The sequence below is a fragment of the Homo sapiens genome, chromosome 9 (assembly GCF_000001405.40).
Source record: "Homo sapiens chromosome 9, GRCh38.p14 Primary Assembly".
Taxonomy (NCBI): Eukaryota; Metazoa; Chordata; class Mammalia; order Primates; family Hominidae; genus Homo; species Homo sapiens.
The window spans coordinates 2,784,582-2,807,560 of NC_000009.12; the positions used below are offsets into that span (position 1 = coordinate 2,784,582).

At 41.3% G+C, this 22,979-nt stretch overlaps 1 protein-coding gene across 1 annotated transcript in view; it reads right to left on the bottom strand.

Moving 5' to 3' along the window:
- Nucleotides 1-19,570: 19,570 nt before the first annotated feature.
- The window catches only part of PUM3 (pumilio RNA binding family member 3), a 39,944-nt gene continuing 36,535 nt past the window's right edge, over nt 19,571-22,979 (bottom strand). The window contains exon 18 of the mRNA NM_014878.5: nt 19,571-19,882. Coding sequence (NP_055693.4) covers nt 19,750-19,882 — 133 coding nt within the window. The 3' untranslated portion in view covers nt 19,571-19,749. The remainder of the gene's footprint in view (nt 19,883-22,979) is intronic.

Genomic DNA, 22,979 nt, shown 5'->3' on the forward strand with positions numbered 1-22,979 from the left:
TGTTTGAATTACAAAAATCACTTATCAATGTTTCTGCAACTCTTGCAAAATAATTTAATGGTATCTTAAATTCTCTTCAACTGATAAAATCTAAAATGAGCAGTTTAGCCTCAGTAGTGCAGATGCTCCCCAACCTATAATGCGGCTACATCTGGATAAGGCCATCATAAGTAAAAAAAAAAATCTTAAGTTGACAGCACATTCTAGACTTGTAGTTTTAATTTACCACGGGCTTATTGGGACATAATCCTATCTTAAGTCAAGGAGCCTAGTGAAACATATCTCTTTTGCACCATCATTAAGTGGAAAAATCATGAGTCCAACCATCATAAGTTGAGGACCTTCTGTACTTCAAAACAGAAAAGTTCTTGATACCCTAACTACTCAACAAGGAAGAGCTTGTGCGCTTACTGGAGAAAGATGCTGTTTTTATGTCCATAAACAAGGAATTGTAAGCCCAGAATCTGGAGACCTAAAAGATAAAATCCAAGTATTCCACCTAATTGGGAAAGCCCAATCAGTTTATCCGTTAGTGGTTAAAACTTGACTCTGGGGGACCTTGGCTTTGGGGTATTTCTCAAACTCCTGGTATTACCCTCCTATTAGTCATATTGACAATATCCCCTGTACATTATATTCTTTCAAGAGGCTTACATGCTTGTCAGCAGCCACTAAATCATTGGATGATCTCCATGAGAATTGAAGGGCAGAAACTATATGAACTCAAATCATAAGAAAATAACCTATGATAATTTCAGTATGCAATCTTTAGATGAGCGTGGGAGAAGAAAACAGTATGTGGTGACTGAGAGTAACATTTAATAGTTGGCCACACTCCCAGTTAACTGAGTGTGTGACCGAAGAGGGGAAAATGTTAAAGATATACTTTTTAGAGGCCACAGTTTGATTATCCCCTTAAAACAGACATCGATAGCCACGAGTGAAAATTAAAACTGTCCTGATTCCCCTGTAATACTAGCTGTAACCATAAACACAATTTAAGCTTTCCCAGGTCAGCATGACCTTACAATTTCCAGCTAATTAGCTATCAATAGGTAAGCTTATAGAGCACAGCGGCTTGAAAAGATAAGTTTCAAGTAGCCCATCATGATAGGGAATAATGTTCTTTCTCATTCTCACTTAATAAACTGTGCTGTAACTGCTGTGGGCTGAGCTTCTTAATGCTTTCAGTTTGAAGTTCCCCAGATCATGGCCTGTATTTTAAAAACTTCTAAATTGTTCCAACTTGATCTGGTTTTATTTTTGTCAAACTGAAAAGTACAGGTTAAAGCCAGGTTTAGGCACAAGGAAGCTGGACTCAAATGATGTCACAAAGACTTCATTTTTCTCCCCGTGTTGCTCAGTTCCGCTTTCCTCCATGTTGGCTTCCTTCAGTAGTAATTTAAGGCTTTTATCATATCAACACTTGCAACCCCAATAGCTTAAGCAAAAGATCCGGTCACTTTGGTGACAGGGATTGGAACACGATTGTTTAGTCCTGGGTTATTATTTCTATCTCCGGGTACAGAGACTGAGGGTAGAAAAGCACTGGCCAAGGAAAAATCATGATGCAGTTACCAGGAGAAAGAGAAATCAATGGTGGGCATCCAAAGACAACACATGCCCACTAACACACACCACTTGATCCGTGAAAAAGAGTAAGAAATTCTAATTCAACTCAAAAAGGTGTAATCTTAGGATCACTGAATGAATGAAAATCGAATATCAAGTTATGAAATGTAGAGCTATAACTGCTTAACTACTCTTGTAGTTATTGTATACAGTACTTGACATTTTACTTTATAGGGGACATTAAATACTCAAGAGAAGGCAAATGAGGTTGTCCTAAAAACATATGTAGAAAGATTTACAAAAAATAGTTGAAGAAACCAGGAAATGTCTGTTTTGGAGAAAAGAAGACTTAGGGGATACAGGATCCCTGTCTCCAAATATTTAAAGCCCTTACTTCTGACAGAGGATGTCCTCTGTGTGGCTCTAGAGGGTACAATCACAGGATCAGGCGGAAGACTTAGGTTGCAGATAAGAAACTGCCCTCTAACGATGAACGCTGCCCAACAATAATCGGTTGACTCTTAAGTCTGGGAGGACTCCTTGTCATTAGAAATGTTCAAACAGGGTTTGGCTAATCAAACTTCTGGAAGGCTATTGAAGTCTGCTGGGGATATTGTACAGTGGAATAGCATTTTACTTCAAAGTTAGGCTCTAAAGTCAGTAAGGCAAAAATCACATATGCCAAAATTGCCTTGAAAATTACCTGTGAAATACGGTATATGAATCACGGTTTTAGGACATGTGATTTATATGCACAAATGTATTATATATTTAATAATGCACAATATAATAAAGAATGCAATTTTTTAAGCACTGGCATCACAGTGCTTAAAAACCTGTGAGAGGTTTTGTAGATGTGTAGGAACTAAATAAAGCAACCATTGCAATCATTGATTCAAGTATCCTATTTCACATTCACTTTGGGGCACACACTGATGGGGTATAATAGTAGGTGCATTGCTGTAAACACCTCACTCTTTGCTCTCACTAACAAGCATATTTAGTTGAATCATCCTATTGTATAAGAAAGAATTTGACTAGCTTTTGTCCCTGGTTCCTGGGAGGGAGACTAAATCCTTAAGAGTTTCCCAATTAATAGCAGTGTCTTTGTTATTCATGAACCTCTTGGATCACATCTGAGTTTATGGTAAGAGATGAGATGACTCAGGATGGGGGTTGGTCACCAGAAAAATCTACTATATGAGGAGAGCTTTGGGACTTTGAGCCAGCCTGACCTCCAGGAAGGGTAGAGGGGCTAGAGATTGAGTCCATCCATGGTCAAGGATTCAATCAATCATGTCTACAGAGTGAGACCCCAACAAAAACTCTGGACATTGAGCTGAGTGGGGAAACTTCCTGGTTTTTGAGCCCATCAATGTGCCAGAGGGTGGTGCATGCTGGTTCTACAGGAATAGGACATGGAAGCTTTGCATTCAGGACCCTCCCAGACCTTGCCCTGTCATCTCTTTATTTGGCTGGTCCTGATTTATATCTTTTATAAAACTGTAATTGTATATACAGTGCTTTCCTGAGTTTTCTAAGTTGTTTTAGTGAATTATCAAACTTAAGGGTGTTGTGGGAATCTCTGAATTTGTAGCTAGTGGTCATAAGTGTGGGTGGGCTAGGGACCCCTGAAGTATGGCTGGCACTTGAAATAAAAGCAGTCTTGTTGGTGACTATGCCCTTAAACCTGTGAAGTCTGACATCAACTCTGGGTGATTAGCATAGATATTGCTTGGCAGTACATCAGTTGGTGTCAGAGCATGTCTTAAAGAAATAAGAAGGTGGCTGCACAGTACCTCCAAAGAGCCTTGTGATTCTAAGATTCTTTTAAGGCAAAGAACCAAACAAAATTAATACTTTTATTCTGGCCCATAGAGAAGTGATTAAGCAATTGTCTCTTTCACTATCTCGCTTTATGAGATGTGAGATCAAAAAAATGCAAGAAAAATGGAATGTAGGAGTCTTTTAACTCATAAAATCTCAGCTTAAAGAAGCTAAGGTCTAATGATGGAACAACAGCTTGTCCACAGTGAGGCTAGGCCAGTTAGGAAGAGAAGGCAGAGCCCCTGTTTCTAAATCAGAATATGGCCTGGAAGACACCAATATTCTAATAACAAGATAAGCATGCCTACAGCCTAATGGCTTAAGGGTTGCCAAGATATTTCTTTTCTTCTCTTTCGGAGAAATGTGAGTCAAAAATACCTGCTGCTAATATTAATGTAGAGGGAGGGGAAATCTATTTGCAAGGTCTTTTGGGGCCAGAAGGACAATGCATTATTTTCCCAGTCCCTTCAGTCAGAGCCTAACAGCAGCAGTATTCATCCCAAACATATCTATTCGAATCCCTTACGATGACCCCAGAGACGCTGCCCTGTTCCCTTGGCACAGAAGGGCAGAGAATGAATTCCCAGAGAGCAGAACTGGGAACAAGGGTGGAAGTTACAGGGAGCCTTCTCAGGTGACTGTAAAGAAGAACTTTCCAGTGGAGAGGAATCCTCAGGAGATATAGAACAAATACCGTGTTACCAGCAGGATCTAACCTGAGGGCCACAGCCATATCCTGGGGACGAGTGGATGAGGATGCACACAGAGAGGGAGCAAAGACACCAGATGATATCTAGATCCCTGTAGTTCTGACAGTCTAGTTCTAACCTGACTGTAGATTCAAAGAAAAACCAGGGAAAATATTCTCACTTTAGGAGCTTTCTCAGCTGTGTTCTTACCACAAATATTCTTCAACAATAAATCCCACTAGAATACCTAGCGGCATGACGTTATTTAGCGCAGTTAAGAGAGATTTTAGAATTACTGCAATGCCGTTTAAATTCATTATCTAATGCTAATTAAAATGATCTGTTTCGCTGTCACCAAGGAAAATCTTGTCAGGGAAACTGATGAGTTACAGCGAGCTCTCTGGTACTGAGCTGAGAGCAGATGGGTGCTTACAACATCATACATCCTGTGCCATTGACAATTAAGACTGAGAGAGAATTAACCTGGCAGTACACCTGGCCTCGGGCAGGTTTGGGGGCCAGCCAAGCATCTAAAGAGCACTCGACTGCACAGCAGACCTGCCTGTGACCCTCTCTGCCAGTTACCTTGGGGCAGTCACCTCACCTCTTTGGGTTGCGTTAGATCAGTGGTTTTAAATCTTGATGCACATTAGAATCACCGAGGGAATTTTTAATCCAGATTCCCCACCTAAACCAATTAAATATGAGTCCCTGGAGGTGGGGCCTAGGCATAAGAATTTTAAAGCTCCTCAGGTGATTCCAATGTGAAGGTGGGGTTGATTACCACTGCATTTGATGGTCCCTAAGGACTATGCCCATTTCCAGACTAATTGAGAGATGAAAAATTATTGGCTTACTTCATCACTCCCTCGCAGACATTGGTTATTAGGAGTCTGACTCAACTGAGTACTCCACGTGATATCAGCCAGGCAGTAACTGCTGTTAAACCATGGTCCATGTCTTGGTTATTTTCGTAAATGCCTGGCACATCCTAGGCGCTCAGTACTCATTTGATAAATGAATGGTTCAGAGGGCAACAATTCAATTTGCAGTTCACCCTTTCTGCTTCATTTTGGGTGGCAAAATGAGTAACATATGAGTTACAAATTTTAAATAATGTATTAAATTCATCTTTAATAACAGAATAGCACAAAATAGCAGTAGCTTAAACAAAAGAGAAGTTTATTTCTCTAACACATAAAATGCTGGCTTTCAAAATATGGTCCTTGAACCAGGATGATCCATATCACCTGGGAAATTGTTAGAAATGTAAACTCTTGGGCTCCAAACCAGACCTACTAAAATAGAAACTGTGGGGTGTGGCACAGAAATCTGTTTAATAAGCCCTCCAGGTGATTTAAGAACCACTGCCATAGAAGAATTTGAGAGGGAGGTAGTGCAAGATTAGTATAGCAATTCCATGAAGTTGGGACCTGGACTCTCTGCTCACCATTCCTTCACCCCTAAGGCACAAACCTTGTCCACATGATATGATATGGCTGCTGGAGTTTCAGCCATCACATTCAAGCTCAAAGGAGAAGGATGGAGAAAAACCTAGAGAAGAGCACTCACTCTTCTTTCACATGACTTCCTGAAAGGACTTCTTGTCCTCTTAGATCTCATTGGCACAAAAACTTCTCTGTGAAGAACACCAGAAAATGTTATCTTTTAGCTGGGCACATGACCACACCCCTAAAAATTAAGGTTCTATTCATGAGGTGCTAAGACAGTAATCTAGTTGTTTCTGCCTTAAATTATTACTCAACAGTGGTAATAAAGAAAACTAAAACTTAGTGCTAATATGTCCAGGTATTGTGTTACATTCCTTATGATAGTATCTTATATAACCTTCATAACTCTATGGGGAATTGTTTTTCTCATCTTGTAGACTAAAAAAACAAACAGAAAACAAACAAACAAAAACGGGTTTTTAGAGACTGGTTAATGTGCTTGATGTCACTAACCAGGAAGTGATAAAGCAGAATTTCAACCCAAGTGGTTTATCTGCAAAGCATGCATTCTTAGCCTCTAAGATATGCTACTCTGATAAAAAGTTTTGGTGGAGATGAAAAATGAGTAATAACTGACACCTTATATCTGTTCCTCATTCGCAGGAATAATATAATATTGGTTTTGCCATCATTTGATTAGGTTGAGCTTGCAAAGCAACTCCCACCCCACTCCAAATGGCTGATATGTTCTAAGACTGTGTTTTCAGGTCACTTAGGACAGGTCTGCAGTGGTGTCTGCACATTAAGAAGCATTGGGGCTAACACTAGGGAGAATCCAGGGCTCATGGGACCTGAGGCTTGTACAACTTAGGATCCCCTGTTAAGAAAAAAAACCATTAAATTGTGAATACACGATTAGGTAGTGGGCTTTGGAATGCCCAGCAAGTGAGGGGCAGTGATACTTAAGCCTCATTGGCTTAATGGGAAATCTACCTCCAGCCTAATGCTTCCTTTCCCAGCACTGCTTGCCTGTAGCATGGAGGACACAATGCAGGTCACTGCAATCAACCAATCACCAACTGTAGAAGAAATAATGGAGATGACATTGATCAGTGGTCTTCTAACTTTGATTTGTTTGTTCTTAATGGCAGAATCCTGTTACAAAAAGAAATCTCACTCTGAATCTGAACACATTGAACAGATACAAGTGTGGCTGCTCTGGCTGGAGACCAGGTGGTCGTAGGTCAAAAGTCCCATCTGCTCTTGCCCATAATGTAATCTCCAAATGAGTTATTCTTCCCTGCTGCACAGATAAACCCAATTCACTGACACAGCATTATTGCAGTAAAGAAGTAGTTTAATTAATGCAAGGCTGGCCAAGAAGAAGGACTGGAGTTATTACTCAAATCAGTCTCCCTGAGAATTTGGAGGCTAGGGTTTTAATAGATAATTTGATGGGCAAGGGGCTAGGGAATGGGTGCTGCTGATTGGTTGGGGGATGAAATCATGTGGGAAACGGTCCTTGTGTGCTGAGTCCATCTCGGGGTGGAGGCCACAGGACTGCTGTTTGAGTCATGAGTCATGGGTCCAGGTGGGGTCAGTTAATTGCCAGGACGCAAAAATCTGAAAAACATCTCAAATGACCACTCTTAAGTTCTACAATAGTGATGTTACCTACTGAAGCACTCGGGGCAGTCACAAACCTTGTGACCTCTGGCCACGTAACTGCTGAGCAGTAAGGGGTTATAGAAAGTACACCTACATTTTAGCAGAATTCAGGCCCCTTCTATAATCCTAATCTTATGTCCTTTCATTAGTTTTACACAGACAACTTCAGTCCCTGAATAAGGGGGAGGGGGCCAGCTTTAGGGAGGGACTATTATCATCCTTGCTTTAAAGCTAAACTATAAACTAAATTCCTCCCATGGTTAGTGTGATGGTTAATAATGAGTATCAACTTGATTGGATTGAAGGATACAAAGTATTGATCCTGGGTATGTCTGTGAGGGTGCTGCCAAAGGAGATTAACATTTGAGTCAGTGGGCTGAGAAAGGCAGACCCACCCTTAATCTGACTGGGCACAATCTAATCAGCTGCCAGCACAGCTAGAATATAAGCAGGCAGAAAAATGTTAAAGGAGACCCTGGCCTAGCCTCCCAGACTGTATCTTTCTCCTGTGCTGGATGCTTCCTGCCCTTGAACATTGGACTCCAAGTTCTTCAGTTTTGGGACTCAAGACTGGCTCTCCTTGCTCCTCAGCTTACAGATGGCCTATTGTGGGACCTTGTGATCTTGTAAGTTAATACTTAATAAACTCCCTTTTATACACACACACACGCACACACACACACACACACACACGTATATACACACATGTATATATATATAACCTTCATAACATTTTATATATATATACACGTATATACACACAATAAATTCCTCCCATGGTTACTGTGAGGTTAATAATGAGTATCAACTTGATTGGATTGAAGGATACAAAGTATGTATACATATATCCATGTATATATACAAATACACATATATATGTGTGCATGTGTATATGTATCCACATACGTGGATGTATACATACACACACACATATATATGTGTATATACACACACATACACATATATGTATACATGTGTGTGTACATATACACATACATGTGTGTGTACATACATGGATATGTGTGTGTGTGTGTATATACGTGGATATATACACACACACACATATACCATTAGTTCTGTCCCTCTAGAGAACCCTAATACAGTTAGCTTGGGCTACGCTCAGGAAGCAGGGAGGACAGCCAGCCTGTGAGGCTATAAGCAAGATGGAGTCAGCCATGCTAGACTTCTCTCGCTGTCATCTTTGCAAAGGTGGCTTCAGTTGCAGCTCCAGAGGCATCTTGGGGCCTCAAGGAACCTATCTGAAAATCACCTGATGTATTCTAAGCCCCTCTTCTTATAGGGGAGAGAACAAAGACCCAGGAAGACTAAATAACTCAGCCTAGGTCATCACCTGGTTACTGGCAGGGTGGGGACTACAACTGTGATCTATCCACAGATCTTTTCACTATACTTTAAAAATCCTTTGATTTCTAGGCCAGCCTTCAAAAGCCTTTTATTGAGCTATCTCTTGCCCTATCCCAAATATAGCATTTGTAGTATATGATAGAATCAAACCACAAGGTATTACCCATTTCTATGGGAAAAGTCAGAAAATGTCTCCCCAGCTGCAGCCTTAGTACAGAAGGGGTGGGTACTCTCTCAGCTTAAGTCACTAGAGGTTTTTCCCCTGAACTGCTGTTCTTCTTTCTCCCCTTGTCTCACCCTGCATCACTAGCCAAGTCCCTGGCACACCCCAGGGAAGGCAAGAGGCAGAGAATGGAACCAGTGGGTAGCATTTGTACCACTGAGAAGGAAAAAGCAAGAATCCCTTGGGTCATGGGAACATAAAATTTATAAGCTGTGTATAGAGAGAAGCTACCTTCTTGTATGAAAAAAGGAAACAGACATGCAATGAAATATTACACTTCGGTGCATGGCTATTTTCTTTTCCATCTTTGATTTTTATTACTGATTGACTTAAATATGGGCTGCAAATTTAATCTTCCTCACTTGCTGGAATTTCATGTTTTTTTCTGACTATGCTTCTGGTCCTGGCAAAACTTTGCCTTAAGGAATTTCTCCAGAGGTATTTTAACTCGATGCTCATTTTCATGGAAGTATCACTGGTTTTTGCCCACCTAGGTCTTACAATAAACTTTCTCACAGGGTTGTCTGCTTTTTCTTTCAGAGCTTTCCTTGATTCAAACAATTCTCAAGGAAGTTGTTAGTTGGTGAAATTACTTCATTTAGGTCTTCTAATTAGAAAGGAAAAATTCTTCCATCAGTCCCATGCCTTCCTCAATTATAAAATTTCACTTAAAAATCTCAAACCGGTAAGAAGACTTAATGCTATTCAGTAACTAAAATTATAAATCTCTAAAGCTTTCTTTAAAACAAAAGAAACCTAAAATGCAATCTGAATGTAGCAGAATCGTTTTCCACAGAATAGTCACATCATGACCACAGTTGACAGCAAATGGTAACTGGAAACAGTTTGTTCTTCTACTTGGGAAATGGGCATCAACTGGCTAACTTTTAAAAAGAGTGAATATATCTCTTAGGTTTTGTTTTGTATTAGTCAGTTTTCACACTGCTGTAAAGACACTACCTGAGACTAGGTGAATTATAAAGGAAAGAGGTTTAATTGACTCACAGCTCTGCATGGCTGGGGAGGCCTCAGGAAACTTACGATCATGGCAGAAGCGGAAGTAGGCATGTCTTACACGGCGGCAGGAGAGAGAGGAGAAAGCAAAAGGGGAAGAGCCCCTTATAAAACCATCAGATCTCATGAGAATTCACTCACTATCACAAGAACAGCATGGGGGAAACCACCCCCATGATCCAATCCCTCCTTCAACACGTGGGGATTATAGGTCCCCCACTCCACACGTGAGGGTTACAATTCAAGCTGAGATTTGGGTGGGGACACAAAGCCAAACCATATCAGTTGTACAAAAAGGCAGCAAAATAACAATTACCTCTAAAGTGAAATAAAGAAACAAAAGGCTACTTCGTGATGTTAGAATATTAAAAACACGATTCTCACAAAAATATATGTCAAAGATTTATGTAACTCATTCATGAGAAAACAAGCAGGTAAAACTAGTTCAAAGGAGGATACAGTGGACTGAGTTATATATGTACATTTTTCTGTATGTCCATTTCAGGAAAAGGAAGTCTACTGGAATAAGATTGCAGTTAGATTAACGCCTGGTAATAAATAGGGCAATAAAACTGTAATTTTTGGAGCTGTCTCTACTATAGGGCAGAAATCATTTGCAACTTACTGATATTCTACTCAGCATTATCCACCTTCCCAGAGTCTGGGCCCTAACAGAATAATAGCATGTCAAACAAAATCACACCCCTCTAGAAAGTCAAATAACCTTGTGGTTTTGCAGACCATGCCCTAGTATGTCTTTAAATGGGACAAACCTTTTTGCTTTATTTCTACACTTTGGATAATTTTACTTAATGGTAGTAGAGGTTTTTTTGTTTTTGTCTGTTTTTTTTTTCCTTTATAATCTGTAAACTACAACTCTGTGACTTGGGAACCAAACGAGGTAAGGAATATTTGGAACCATCTGGGGAGTCATAAACACAAAGTTTTACAAGGCATCTTCACATATGGTCTTATTTGATTCTGACCCCAGCTTCCTGAGATGTTCAGGTATGATCCCTATTTTCACAAATAAGAAAAGAGAGGTACCTAAAGATTGTGACTTGCCCACATTCCTGGTCAGAACCAGGGCCAATCTACAAAGCCAGATCTTCTGAAAACACACACCAAGGGCTTTCACTGTGGTGCTGCTCTCAACAACCCCTCACATCGTAGAGAAGCTTATGGTTTAAAAAGCCCTTGGCAGGCTGGGTGCAGTGGCTCACGCCCGTAATCCCAGAACGTTGGGAGGCCGAGGCAGGTGGATCATAAGGTCAGGAGATCAAGACCATCCTGGCTAACACGGTGAAACCCCGTCCCTACTAAAAATACAAAAAATTAGCCGAGCGTGGTGGGGGGCGCCTATAGTCCCAGCTACTCGGGAGGCTGAGGCAGGAGAATGGTGTGAACCCGGGAGGCGGAGGATGCAATGAGCCAAGATCATGCCACTGCACTCCAGCCTAGGTGACAGAGCAAGACTCCGTCTCAAAAAAAAAAAAAAAAACCAAAAAAAACTTTGACAAATTGAGGGCGCATGAAGCAGGTGGTTTTGTTTTACAGACGGGAAAAATGAGGACCATGATCACCTGCCTAGCAAGTGACAGAAGCCAAATCATGTCCAAGTTCCCCAACAAGTCAAAGGCTAGTTCCTCCACAAAACAATCACCTGGAGTTAATCCACTTTGTCCCTCGGCACTGACCCAAATTTCATCTCTGGACACCAAGACCACCAAACAACTTGAATCCCCCACTTCTCTGCTGGACCTCCACCTATCAGGCCAGGTATGTGAGTTCAATTCACCCCTTTCTCCTGCCCCAAGAAACAAACTCCCTTGTTAACCTGTCTAGCTCTCTGCCCTCTACCTCAGCAAGCTGATAGACTTCACAGGAAGGTGTTATTGACAGGCAACAGCTAGCGGTGCTATTCCACCAGGGTTATTTGTATTTTAAAAGAAGCCCATTTTGGTATAATTACTTTCACCTTTTGCTTCCTAATCTATGTTGGCAGAAATGACTACAAGGAGCCTGCAAACCCAACCTTAGCCGAAGCACCAGCTGCCAAGGGAATGAAGGCTCATGTTTTGACTATTTTTCAAATGTACATTGCTGACGTTTAAAATTGTAAATATATTTTAAAGTGGTAATGAATTTATGGGTGTTCTTATGTGACTTCTTAGCCAATATATGTTTAAAAGTGTAACTGTGACTATGTGTAGGGGCAGAAGCTGCTGAAATGTTTTATGGGAAAATCTCAAGGAGGGGAACCTAACGCTCACAAAGACACAGTGAAGTATGATTATCTTCATTTTAAAAATGATGAAAATGAAGCAGAGAGGATATGTAACTTACAAAGATCATCCAGCTACAGAGCCAAGCTTCAAATGCAGTTCCAGGCCTGTGCTCCCAACCACTATTTTATATTCCCTTTAATTTTACCTGATTTTCATTTTCCAAAAGGGTGTGACTTATAGACAAGTATGCTGCAGAAAACACCTCATCCTAACCCTGATCATCTGTAGGAGGGTCCAGCAATAAAGAAAACTTTTGAGGGTTGAAAAGCTACTATAGAAAAGCAAACCAGAGAAACATTTGAGAGAGGAAAAGATGAACTGTATTTTACCAACTGTTAACACTTTGACTCTAAGACGTACCATTATTTTATCTATCACTCAGAAAAAAAGCTGCCTATCAACGGTCATGCTAATATGCCACTGACTATAAGTGACACCCGGAAAGATTTGTTAAATGCAAAATAAAAATGTACATTTTTAGAATTGATGAAATATAGTAACACGCAGGCAGGCAGCCCAGGCCATGGTCTAAGTTTGAGATCCCAGAAGAAGTGAGAGCATCTTTCACGATTTTTCTTCCGGAAACTGACTTGATGTTGTTACATTCAACAGTAGGCAGCAGATGTTTTAGCCAGAGAACTGTAAGTGCTCTGGTTTCAGTCTCATGCCAGTTCCTGATATGGTGCTACTCTTAGTATTAAGAGTACAGAGGCTGCGCACGGTGGCTCACGCCTGTAATCCCAGCACTTTGGAAGGCTGAGGCGGGCGGATCACGAGGTCAGCAGATCAAGACCAACCTGGCTAACACAGTGAAACCCCGTCTCTACTAAAAATACAAAAAATTAGCCAGGCGAGGTGGCGGGCGCCTGTAGTCCCAGCTACTCGGGAGGCTGAGGCAGGAGAATGGTGTGAACCCCGGGGGCGGAGCCTGCAGTGAGCCGAGATGGCGCCACTGCACTCCAGCCTGGGCGACAGCAAGACTCCGTCTCAAAAAAAAAAAAAAAAAAAAAAGGACAGACTGTCCCTGACTTATAATAGATCAACTTACGATTTCTTTTTCTTCTGAGACAGAGTCTTGTTCTGTCACCCAGGATGGAGTGCAGGGGTGCGATCTCAGCTCACTGCAACCTCGGCCTTCCAGATTCAAGCAATTTTCCTGCCTCAGCCTCCCAAGTAGATGAGATTACAGGTGCCTGCTACCACTCCCAGCTAATTTTTGTATTTTTGGTAGAGATGAGGTTTCATTGTGTTGGCCAGATTGGTTTTGAACTCCTGCCCTCAAGTGATCCGCCCACCTCGGCCTCCCAAAGTGCTGGGATTACAGGTGTGAGCCAGCCTACTTACGATTTTTCAACTGTGCAAAAGTCAAAATGATGAAGCAAAGTGATATGAACTCAGAATTCTCTTCAACTTACCACGGGACATGTATACTTGATTAACTAATCACGGTGGCCAAGGGAGTGTTGTGGTTCAGAGGCCAGAGTCACATGCCACTGGTCAAGGCAAATCATAATTCGACTCCACCCAAAAAGGCGACTAAAATGTAGGGGGAGGGGAACCTCCAGAAAGGTGCCGGGCAGGGTATTATTACCAAAAGAGCGGATTCCAACAGATATTTAGAACTAGACTTAGATATCGAGTTATACAATGGGGCCAAATAGTTGATCTGGTAAGAACAAATGAACCCATGTCTTGTCTGTTTCTTCAAAAGGATATTACTGCTGTTACAGATCTTTAAGATTCACAGTTTCTCTATCACTGCCTACTGCTGAATGTGATAACATTAAGTCAGTATGTGCTTACTGGTAGATATATCAATAAGAACCTAAGTTTTAAATGCAAGAGGATTTTCATCTAAAAGGAAAGTCTGTTGTCAAGCATCTGGAAGTCATTTTAAGATATCTGAATTAGTCATTATGTTTAATTATAGTCATCAAGAGCTCAAAGTCAGATGATTCCCATGACCTTACCAGACTCCTCTCACCTTTCCCTCAAGTAGTTATCACATATCAAGCACAACTAAGAGCTAATCATTTCCTCCCAAGGTACAATTAACTCCCTAAGAAAAAGAGCACAGACCAAAATTTCTCATTCCCACATTTTTGCAGCTCTGTCTGTCCACTTACATTCAGCCACGGGCATGAGCCCATGTTTAAAAACTGGATAAAACATTCTGATGAAAAATATTCCAAACACTGTTCTTTCATAGGCTGTTATCTGTGGTATCATCCAGGGCATCATCATCGGTACAAACATACATAGCAATCAGTGTCTGTCTGCACACTGTGGAAGGCAGAGCAGCCATTTAGTTACTATTCATAAAAGACACACAATCCAAAGGGCATACTGTATCTCCTAGTTAAGGCCATTCATTAAAAAATTTACTAATGCGGCCAGGCGCGGTGGCTCACGGCTGTAATCCCAGCACTTTGGGAGGCTGAGGCGGGGGGATCACGAGGTCAGATCGAGACCATCCTGGCTAACACGGTGAAACCCCGTCTCTACCAAAAATAAAAAAAGATTAGCCAGGCGTGGTGGTGGGCGCCTGTAGTCCCAGCTACTCAGGAGGCGGAGGCAGGAGAATGGCGTGAACCCAGGAGGCGGAGCTTGCAGTGAGCCAAGATGGCGCCACTGCACTCCAGCCTGGGCGACAGAGCAAGACTCTGTCTCCAAAAAAAATTTACTAATGCATCTGGGGAAGAAGTTAGGGGACCTGGGGCACTTGGATGGTGGTGTTTTTAGGTTCAGAAAAGATGAAGATGATCATAAACTTAGTTTCCTTACGTTAAGCACTATCAAAAGGTAAGACGAGCTCAAGTCTCAAATTTTTATGTTTGTTTAGGTCATTAATTTTGGCAGAAATAGTTTGATTATGGGCTCCCTACTAACTGCTGCTGTTTTGTGATCTTGTGTTCTCTTAACCATTATTCTAAATACATATATCCATAAATTTGCCAGACTTAAAAGTGACTAATCTGCTAAAATTAAGACGTAACTTTTTCAAATTTTCACTGATATAGAAACAGAAGTGCCATCTCATGTTTTCAAGAGCAAATCTTTTGAGTTTGGTCAGGTAGGAAGCCATTTCCTCTAAGAGGCCTTTATTCTGTTATGCAAGTGCTTATTACAGCAGACATAAAGGGAGAATGGAGTTCTCCTTCCTTCTAACATCAGCTGATTCCTAGGAGAAGCAGGGTTTGATGCAAACTGAAAATACGACAAGCTGAATTTTCAAATAAATGACATTCTCAGATCCGCTAAATTCATCCATGGAAAAGAAGACCACCATGAAGCCAGGTAGGTTGTTTTCAGTTTGTTTAAAGCCATTTGTGGATTTCTGCTTAAAAATGGTGCATTGTTGAGTTTATCTCTGTTCCTTTCAGAAAGAGTAAGATAAGACTAGAAAAATAAAATTGTATAAATTCACAGGAACAAAGTAAACAGAGGAGAAGCCACAGTGGGTGAGAGATAGCACCAAGTATCTGGAAGAACAGGAAGCAGTAGAGAAGGCGGCAGAACTGTGAAAGCGGAATACCTAGTGCATGGAGAGGAACGAGTCAATTCTCACCATGGTAGACCAGAAAATTCCAGCAGCTAGAGGTGCCAGGTACTGGAGAATGCTGGGGTAAGCCTTGGAATGGAAAACAGGGGGATTGGCCCAAACTGCTTGACCACCACTCCCAACCCTGGCAGCAGGCTGAGGAAGTGCTTTGTGAACTTATGTTGACTCATTTTCTCAAGACTAGGGGGCCCCAGATATGAGAGGGCATGAGGGAGAGGCACTGTGCTGAAAGCAGGTAGGTTAATTAAAATCTGCACACTGACTATTGAGCAACTGAATGCTGGCTGCAGGTGGATTTCTCTCTGGAGGCACTGAATGGCCCAGAGGAAAGGCCTACAGATACTGACATCTGGAGGACCCCAGTGAAACAGCAGGATCCACAACTAACCACTGGTACAGTAAAGTCAACATTAGAAAAGAAAAGAATGCCCTCTTTCTCGTCGGTTTTAAGATTTTAAATGTCTTAAATATATGAGAGCTAAAGACCTCTCCAAGAAAGTCTCAAACAGAGCCCAAAGCAAACAGAAAGAGCAGATGACAGAAAAGAAAGTAAAACAAAACAACCAACCATAAAATTGAATATCACCAAGAAACATGAGATAATGCATACAAGCAATAAGAAAAGGACACTTTAATGAAAAGGCTGGGAGTGGCTAGGCATGGTAGCTCAGGCGTTCAGGACTAGCCTAGGCAACATGTCAAAACCCCGTCTCACAAAAAATGCAAAAATTAGCCAGGCATGGTGGTACATGCCTGTATTTCCTGACGCCTGACAGGCTGAGGTGGGAGGATCGCTTGAGCCAAGGAGGCAGAGGTTGCAGTGAGCTCAAGTTGCACAGCTGCCACTCCAGCCTAGGTGACAAGATCCTGTCTCAAAAAACAAACAAACAAACAAAAAACCCAAAACACAAAAGGCTGGCAGAGAAGGTAGAGAAAATATCTCACTCAGAAAGCAAAGCAAAAAAACAAAAATATTAAAAATAGGGAAAAGAAAGAAGATTAGAGGCTCAAATCATTTCAACTCTCAGTAATAGCTCCAAAGACAAAGAACAGAGAAAACACGGGGCAGGGGGTACATTAAAAAAATCAGAAAAAAAACCATGGAAAAACATCTCGCAGGATGAAAGGATCTGGCTCTTCCGACTAAAATGGTTCACCAAGTGCCTAGCATAAAGAAGGAAAAGAAAATATACATAACACTTTCCAATGCACACGATCCTGAAACACGAGAAAGCTGGAGACTTAAAGGCCGCATATGAAGATTGAGAATAAGGATGGCACTGGACATTAAACTTCTACAACTTTGCAATCTAAAGACAATATTGACGAGCATCTTCAAATTCTGAGGCAAAATTAATTTTAAACTAGAATTCTATGTCCAGCTAAACTAGACATCTGGGTTTGAGAGTAGAATAAAGACATTCGGACTTGCAAGGTCTTTAGAATGTATTCTTTCTCGGGAAGCTACTAGAGGATGTGCCGTGTTGAGAAAAGGGTGTTAAGCAAGAGAGATGCATGGGATCTGAGAAATGGACTTTTCATAGGAGAGAAACTAAGGGAAGGCAGACGATGATGATGGTGAAGGAGCAGCAGTTCTTCAGGACATCCCGAAAGCCAGGAGGGGTGTCTCCAGGAGAAGGTGGAAATGCTTGCCGACTTGACATGTTGGATACTGTGGAAATTGGTATTTAGAGACAGCCAGGTTAGCATACTTTTGGCTGCAAGTTGCAAAAGATCCAACTCAAAACTGACCTAAAATGAAAAACTGGGGTTTATTCTCTCACATAACCAGAAGTCCACGGCTAGCGCAGCTCCAGGAGTTAACTTATTCAACAGCTCAACATCATCAAAGTTCCAGACTCTTTTCACAAACCTTTGCTCAGCCATCCTCGGCATATTTGCTATTTCCTGTCAGGCTTCTAGCTTGCAGGCTGGGCCTAGTCCTGCACATACCAAAGCTGACGGGCAGGAAGGGGACTCTCTACAACCCAAGAGACCTAAGAAACCCTCCCAGGAATACCATCTCTCTTCCAACTTTCACTGGTCAGGCTCCTTCCTAAATCCGTCACTGATTTAAGAAATGGGCCCTCCGGACTCGGTCATACCAGTGCTCTTCTGCATAGGACACACAAGCGAATCAGGTGTACAGCCGGGTGGGGTAATGAATGAGGTTGTCAAAATCCCAACACATTCACAACCAACTAGAGAAACACTGAATTATATCAGTTAGGATATTTAAGCCACGTGGAAAGGAGCAGACACCAGAATAACACAGAAGCCTTGGTGGGCTAAAAAAAAAAAAGAGGAAAATGGCTGTTGAGTAATTGCTAAGGGTGCCTTCAAGAGAAGAATTTAAGCAATTCTGACGTAAAGTTTAGGAAAAATCAACAGAGATGTAGAAACTAAGCAAATGAAAATAAATGACTAATTCCAGAAAAATTAAAATAGTAGAGGAAATGTAATGGCTGCTCACTACTTGAATCAATATTTAACAACATTTATGTAGGTATAATAAGGTAAACCCTGAACACTGATTTCATCATACATGATGCAATTCTACTGGGAAGGGAGGGAAGAGGAGTGGGGAACAGTGATGGTAAAAGTTCTTAATCTGCATTTCCTGTAATAGGAAATCAAAAGAAAATACCTGCAACTGATAGATGTATTTAGACATTTAGCAGAGCGAAGAATAATCAGTAGTTCTGGGGAGGGTGAGGCAGGGGTGCAGAGGAATGGGGTAGATTGCTGCTTCTGCTATAAGCTTTATAAAAGTACTCCTCAAATTATGTACACATTATCTTAGTTTCAAAGATGAAACAAAGAGCAGGGGTTCTTTCCCCCTTTCTCTGAATGGCTTCTTTATACAGAGAACACAAATCACAATGTATTAGCCAAACAAATGCAAGCTCTACTGTTGCCTTTTCCCCATTCACCTCCTTATCCCATCCCAGTTCCTCCAGCTCTCCACCCACACCCTTATATTGGGTGATGTGAGAATCCATGTCAAAAGTTACAGCCATCAGCGCTTTTGCAGTCTGGGAAGGATTCAATACACCGTGGCAGGAGGGGTCCTGGTAGTCGGTAGGCTGGAGTAGTCCTGGGACCCCATGGTCTGGAAAGGAAAGGCACAGCCAATTCCTCAGCAGGTGTAACTGCAGTGACAGACCTGAGTGAGTACCCCGTTAGACTACTTTGAGAAAGCAGCCAGATACTCATAGGCATGACTACATGAGCCTGACTGAGCTACCAATCCTTCTAAGCTTTGTTTGCTCAAACAACTGCAGTTTTAAAATTCAAACATCCTAGCTGTAGTTAAACTTCTGCACGTAACAAATTTCCACCTTCTTCCTTCTTATTCAAACTCCATAGGCTTTGACATTTTAGGGACAGTCTCAAGGGAGAAAGTCTAATCACAAGGAGCTATTTACTTGGAAGGCCCAAAATCAGAGACAAGGAGAACTTCCCAGTGACCCTGACTTTAACACCGCAATCCACAGTGATCCCCTAATTCATTTAGCACATTTCCTCCTATGAGCTTAACTTACCTGAGTGGCTTTCAAACAAAATCTAGCATGGAACCTAATCCATAAAACAGCTAGGTAGGCAGCTGTGAACCCCCCACTGCCCCGGTACTCATTAAATTCCACTTTACTGTGCCCACGACTCCCCCTGGCTCTTCTTTTCCACATCCTGCCTTCCTTTGACAGGATGAAAGTCCTCTCAAGTCCCACCTTCTCCAGGAAGCCTTCTCAGACTATGCTCACTGAAGATGTCTTCTCCCCTGAATCAACTCATTCAACTACACTTTATATATCTGGTTGGTCCCACCATATATGATTGGTAAACCTTCCACATTAATTGCCTCACACTGATATGCTTACTACTCAGTGTAACAGAGGAGACAGCTGAGATTTTTAAAAAAGACCATTTAAAAAAACAATTTATATAAATAGATTCGTATACAAAGAAGAAACACATATACAGAGTACCCCAATTACCAGTATGGTGGACCCTACCCCTTCTTTTCTGCATTGGGAAACAGAACAGAGAACAGAAAAAATCATTCCATCTTGCTCTTAACTCTTTCCACCTATGTGCTCAGTTTTTCAAGTAGAATTTCTATTCCTTTGCTGGTGCTTTTGGTTTTTTCCAATGTAGGAATCAAGCTTTTCAGTGCAGCTTTGACTTTGTTTGCAACTTCCAGGTCACAACTCTGGAGGAGGCTGAAGAGAGGAAAAAAATTAAATTTCATAAGCATTCCTAGATCATCTCCAATACTACCTGTACCAACAGTAAAAAAGACTTTGTTAACTGTGACACAAGCCTTGTAACTATATACACATTATTTTTCATTCAAAGGATGAATGATGAGACCAGTAGCCCATATTATAACACCACGGAAAAAAACGTTTTAGAATCTTGCTGGTGGAGTCACCCAAGCAAAGACATTTGTAGGACCAACATCATTCCATACAGAGTTGGTTCTACCTTCACATTATCTTAGGACTTACTTACATCCTGTCTTAAAATGATTCTACATGTATTCTATCTTCCCTTCCCCATCTCAGGACTATAAGCTCAAGAGCAGGGACCGTATTTTATTTATTTCATGATGCTACATTTACAGAGCAGACAGCCAAAATATGCCCACCACGTGGCTGAATGAAAAGGTGTGAACAGAGGCACAGAGAGGTCAGAGTTAGCAGGTCTTCTCACTGAACTCCACAGCACTAACATTGAGTGAAAGGGCGAAGGGCTTCACTGTGGAGCTTCACTGCTTGGGTGGGAAACCTGCCTCTACCACTCAGTAACTGTACAACCAAGAGCATGCTATGTAAACTCTCTTAAGACTCAGTTTCCCGAATTGTAGAATGGGATTCACAACAGAGTCCACCTTCCACCTCACAGAGTGGTTTTCTGAGGCTCAAATGGCCTTGTATCTAAAGCACCCAGCCAGAGCCTGACACTTAGTAAGCACTTAATAAATGTTAGCCATTCTACAAAATAAGCCCGGCCTCTGCGTTCTGAAACCCTGCCCGAGTACTCTATCAGAAGTGAAAGGAGCCATAGAGGCTGGTAACAGCAGGCCCATTTCTCTGTGGATAGGACCTACAGCTCTGACCGCAGAGTACCAGTCCTGAATTTCCTGTTCTCTTCTTTTTCGGGACCCTTTGTAAATACGGACCTCTGAAACACATTTTAGAAATGAGGTACTTGGTATTTTCCAAAGTCCCTGGTCCCAGTAACTTCCAATATGTCAACAAAGAGGAGGATAAATTATCAGCACCAAGCAATATTCTACTGCTTATGGGAGATAAGAAACAATTCAGCTTGCCACCTACGATGCTAAAAAGTAAAGTTCCCTCGTAATGAATTTGTGACTCACTAGGTGTTTTTATTTCATACATCTTGGCTAAACACACAGTTATACAACACATAATAGTAAGTTATTGCTTACTGAGCATATGCCACATATTAGACATAATGCTAGGCATTTTATATGCATCATCCAATCTAGTTTTCATAACGACCATAGGGTTATCATTAATCTCATTTTTTTTACCACCAAGAAAATTAAGGCCCAGAAAAGCTGAATAATTTTCCCAAGGCTATGCACTAAGCTAGAACCCAGGCAGTCTGTCAAGTGCCAATGCTCCCAAATGTTAGAGAATTCTGCTTCTCTGAGTTACTTTTCAGCCAACATACAAGGCTGATTTTCTTTTCACCCAAAATTTACAAAAACAATTTTTTTGTATTATTGTTATATATAGCTCAACTTCCATTTAGAACTTCAAATATTTCCTCTGCTCCTGTTCCAATTCTGAGTAGTGCTCCATAATAAACCTATAGTATCCTTCCTATGTTTGAAATCCACCTAATGGGAGTTCTGATTGATGAACAACCTTTATAAATTAATTTCATGGCATTGCTGAAATTTCCAGTTAATTGAGTGTAATGAAAGAATGTGTCAGTAGGTGTTAACACTCCAAATGCCTGGTAAAAAAATTTGTAATGAAAAAGTTCATGTATCAGCTAACGAATTCTGACTGTTTAACATCAACTGGAAAATTAACTAATTTTAAGCAGAAATGAACAAAATGATCTGTAACACTTATATATTTGGAGACACTGACATACCTGAAGCTATGAATGCTCCTGTGTGAGTATTATGTGTACCAGATCACGTATATGTTGAAGAAACACTTAAAATAACATTTACAAACAACATAGATTAAGTTGCATAGCATGTTGCAAGTAAAGTATCTTGAGAAATTCAAACTAGGGTTGGTATCTGTTTTCCCAAACCTTAATAACACAGCAGGGGAAAAATCAACAGTAATTGCTTCAAAGCAACATACAAATCTTTTTTTAAATGAATGCTCTTAACAGAAGGTTTTCATCTGCACAGAGAATGTATGGAAAATTTCAATGATTTGTGGATTGATTATAAACTCAACTAAGTTCAGAGAATAATACAAAAGAGGCCATAGCTCATCACTGTTTTTTTCTCATTTTAAGTCAGATATCAACAAATAGCACACACACTTCAGTAGCAAATGCTCTTCCAATCCTTTTACAATCTTTTAAAACAATGAAGGAAATTACATGTAGAATTAGGCATGATTTAAAAGTCAACATTGTCACAGTTTTCACAGGGATGTAAGTTATTCATTAAAAAAAATACAGGCTGGGCACAGTGGCTCATGCCTGTAATCCCAGCACTTTGGGAGCCCGAGGTGGGCAGATCACGAGGTCAGGAGATCGAGACCATCCTGGCTAACACGGTGAAACCAGGTCTCTACTAAAAATAAAAAAAATTAGCTGGGCGTGGTGGCGGGCACCTGCCGTTCCAGCTACTCAGGAGGCTGAGGCAGGAGAATGGCATGAACCCAGGAGGCAGAGCTTGCAGTGAGCTGAGATCGCACCACTGCACTCCAGCCTGGGCGACAGTGTGAGACTCCATCTCAAAAAAAAAAAATTATGTTTTGGTCAAAACCATAAATGTGGTGAAGCCACCTGATACCTTGTGAATGTTATAATTTGTCAAAAAGATGGTAGTTTAAAAATCCTAAGGGCCAAGCACAATGGCTATGCCTGTAATCCCAGCACTTTCGGAGGTCAAGATGGGAGGACTACTTGAGCCTAAGAGTCTGAGATCAGCCTGGCCAACACAGGGAGACCCCCATCTCTACAAAAAATAAAAAAATAAAAATTAGTTGGGTGTGGTGGCATGCGTCTGTAGTCTCAGCTACACAGGAGGCTGAGATGGGAGGAAAACTTGAGCCCAGGAGGTTGAGGCTGCAGTGAGCTGAGATCGTG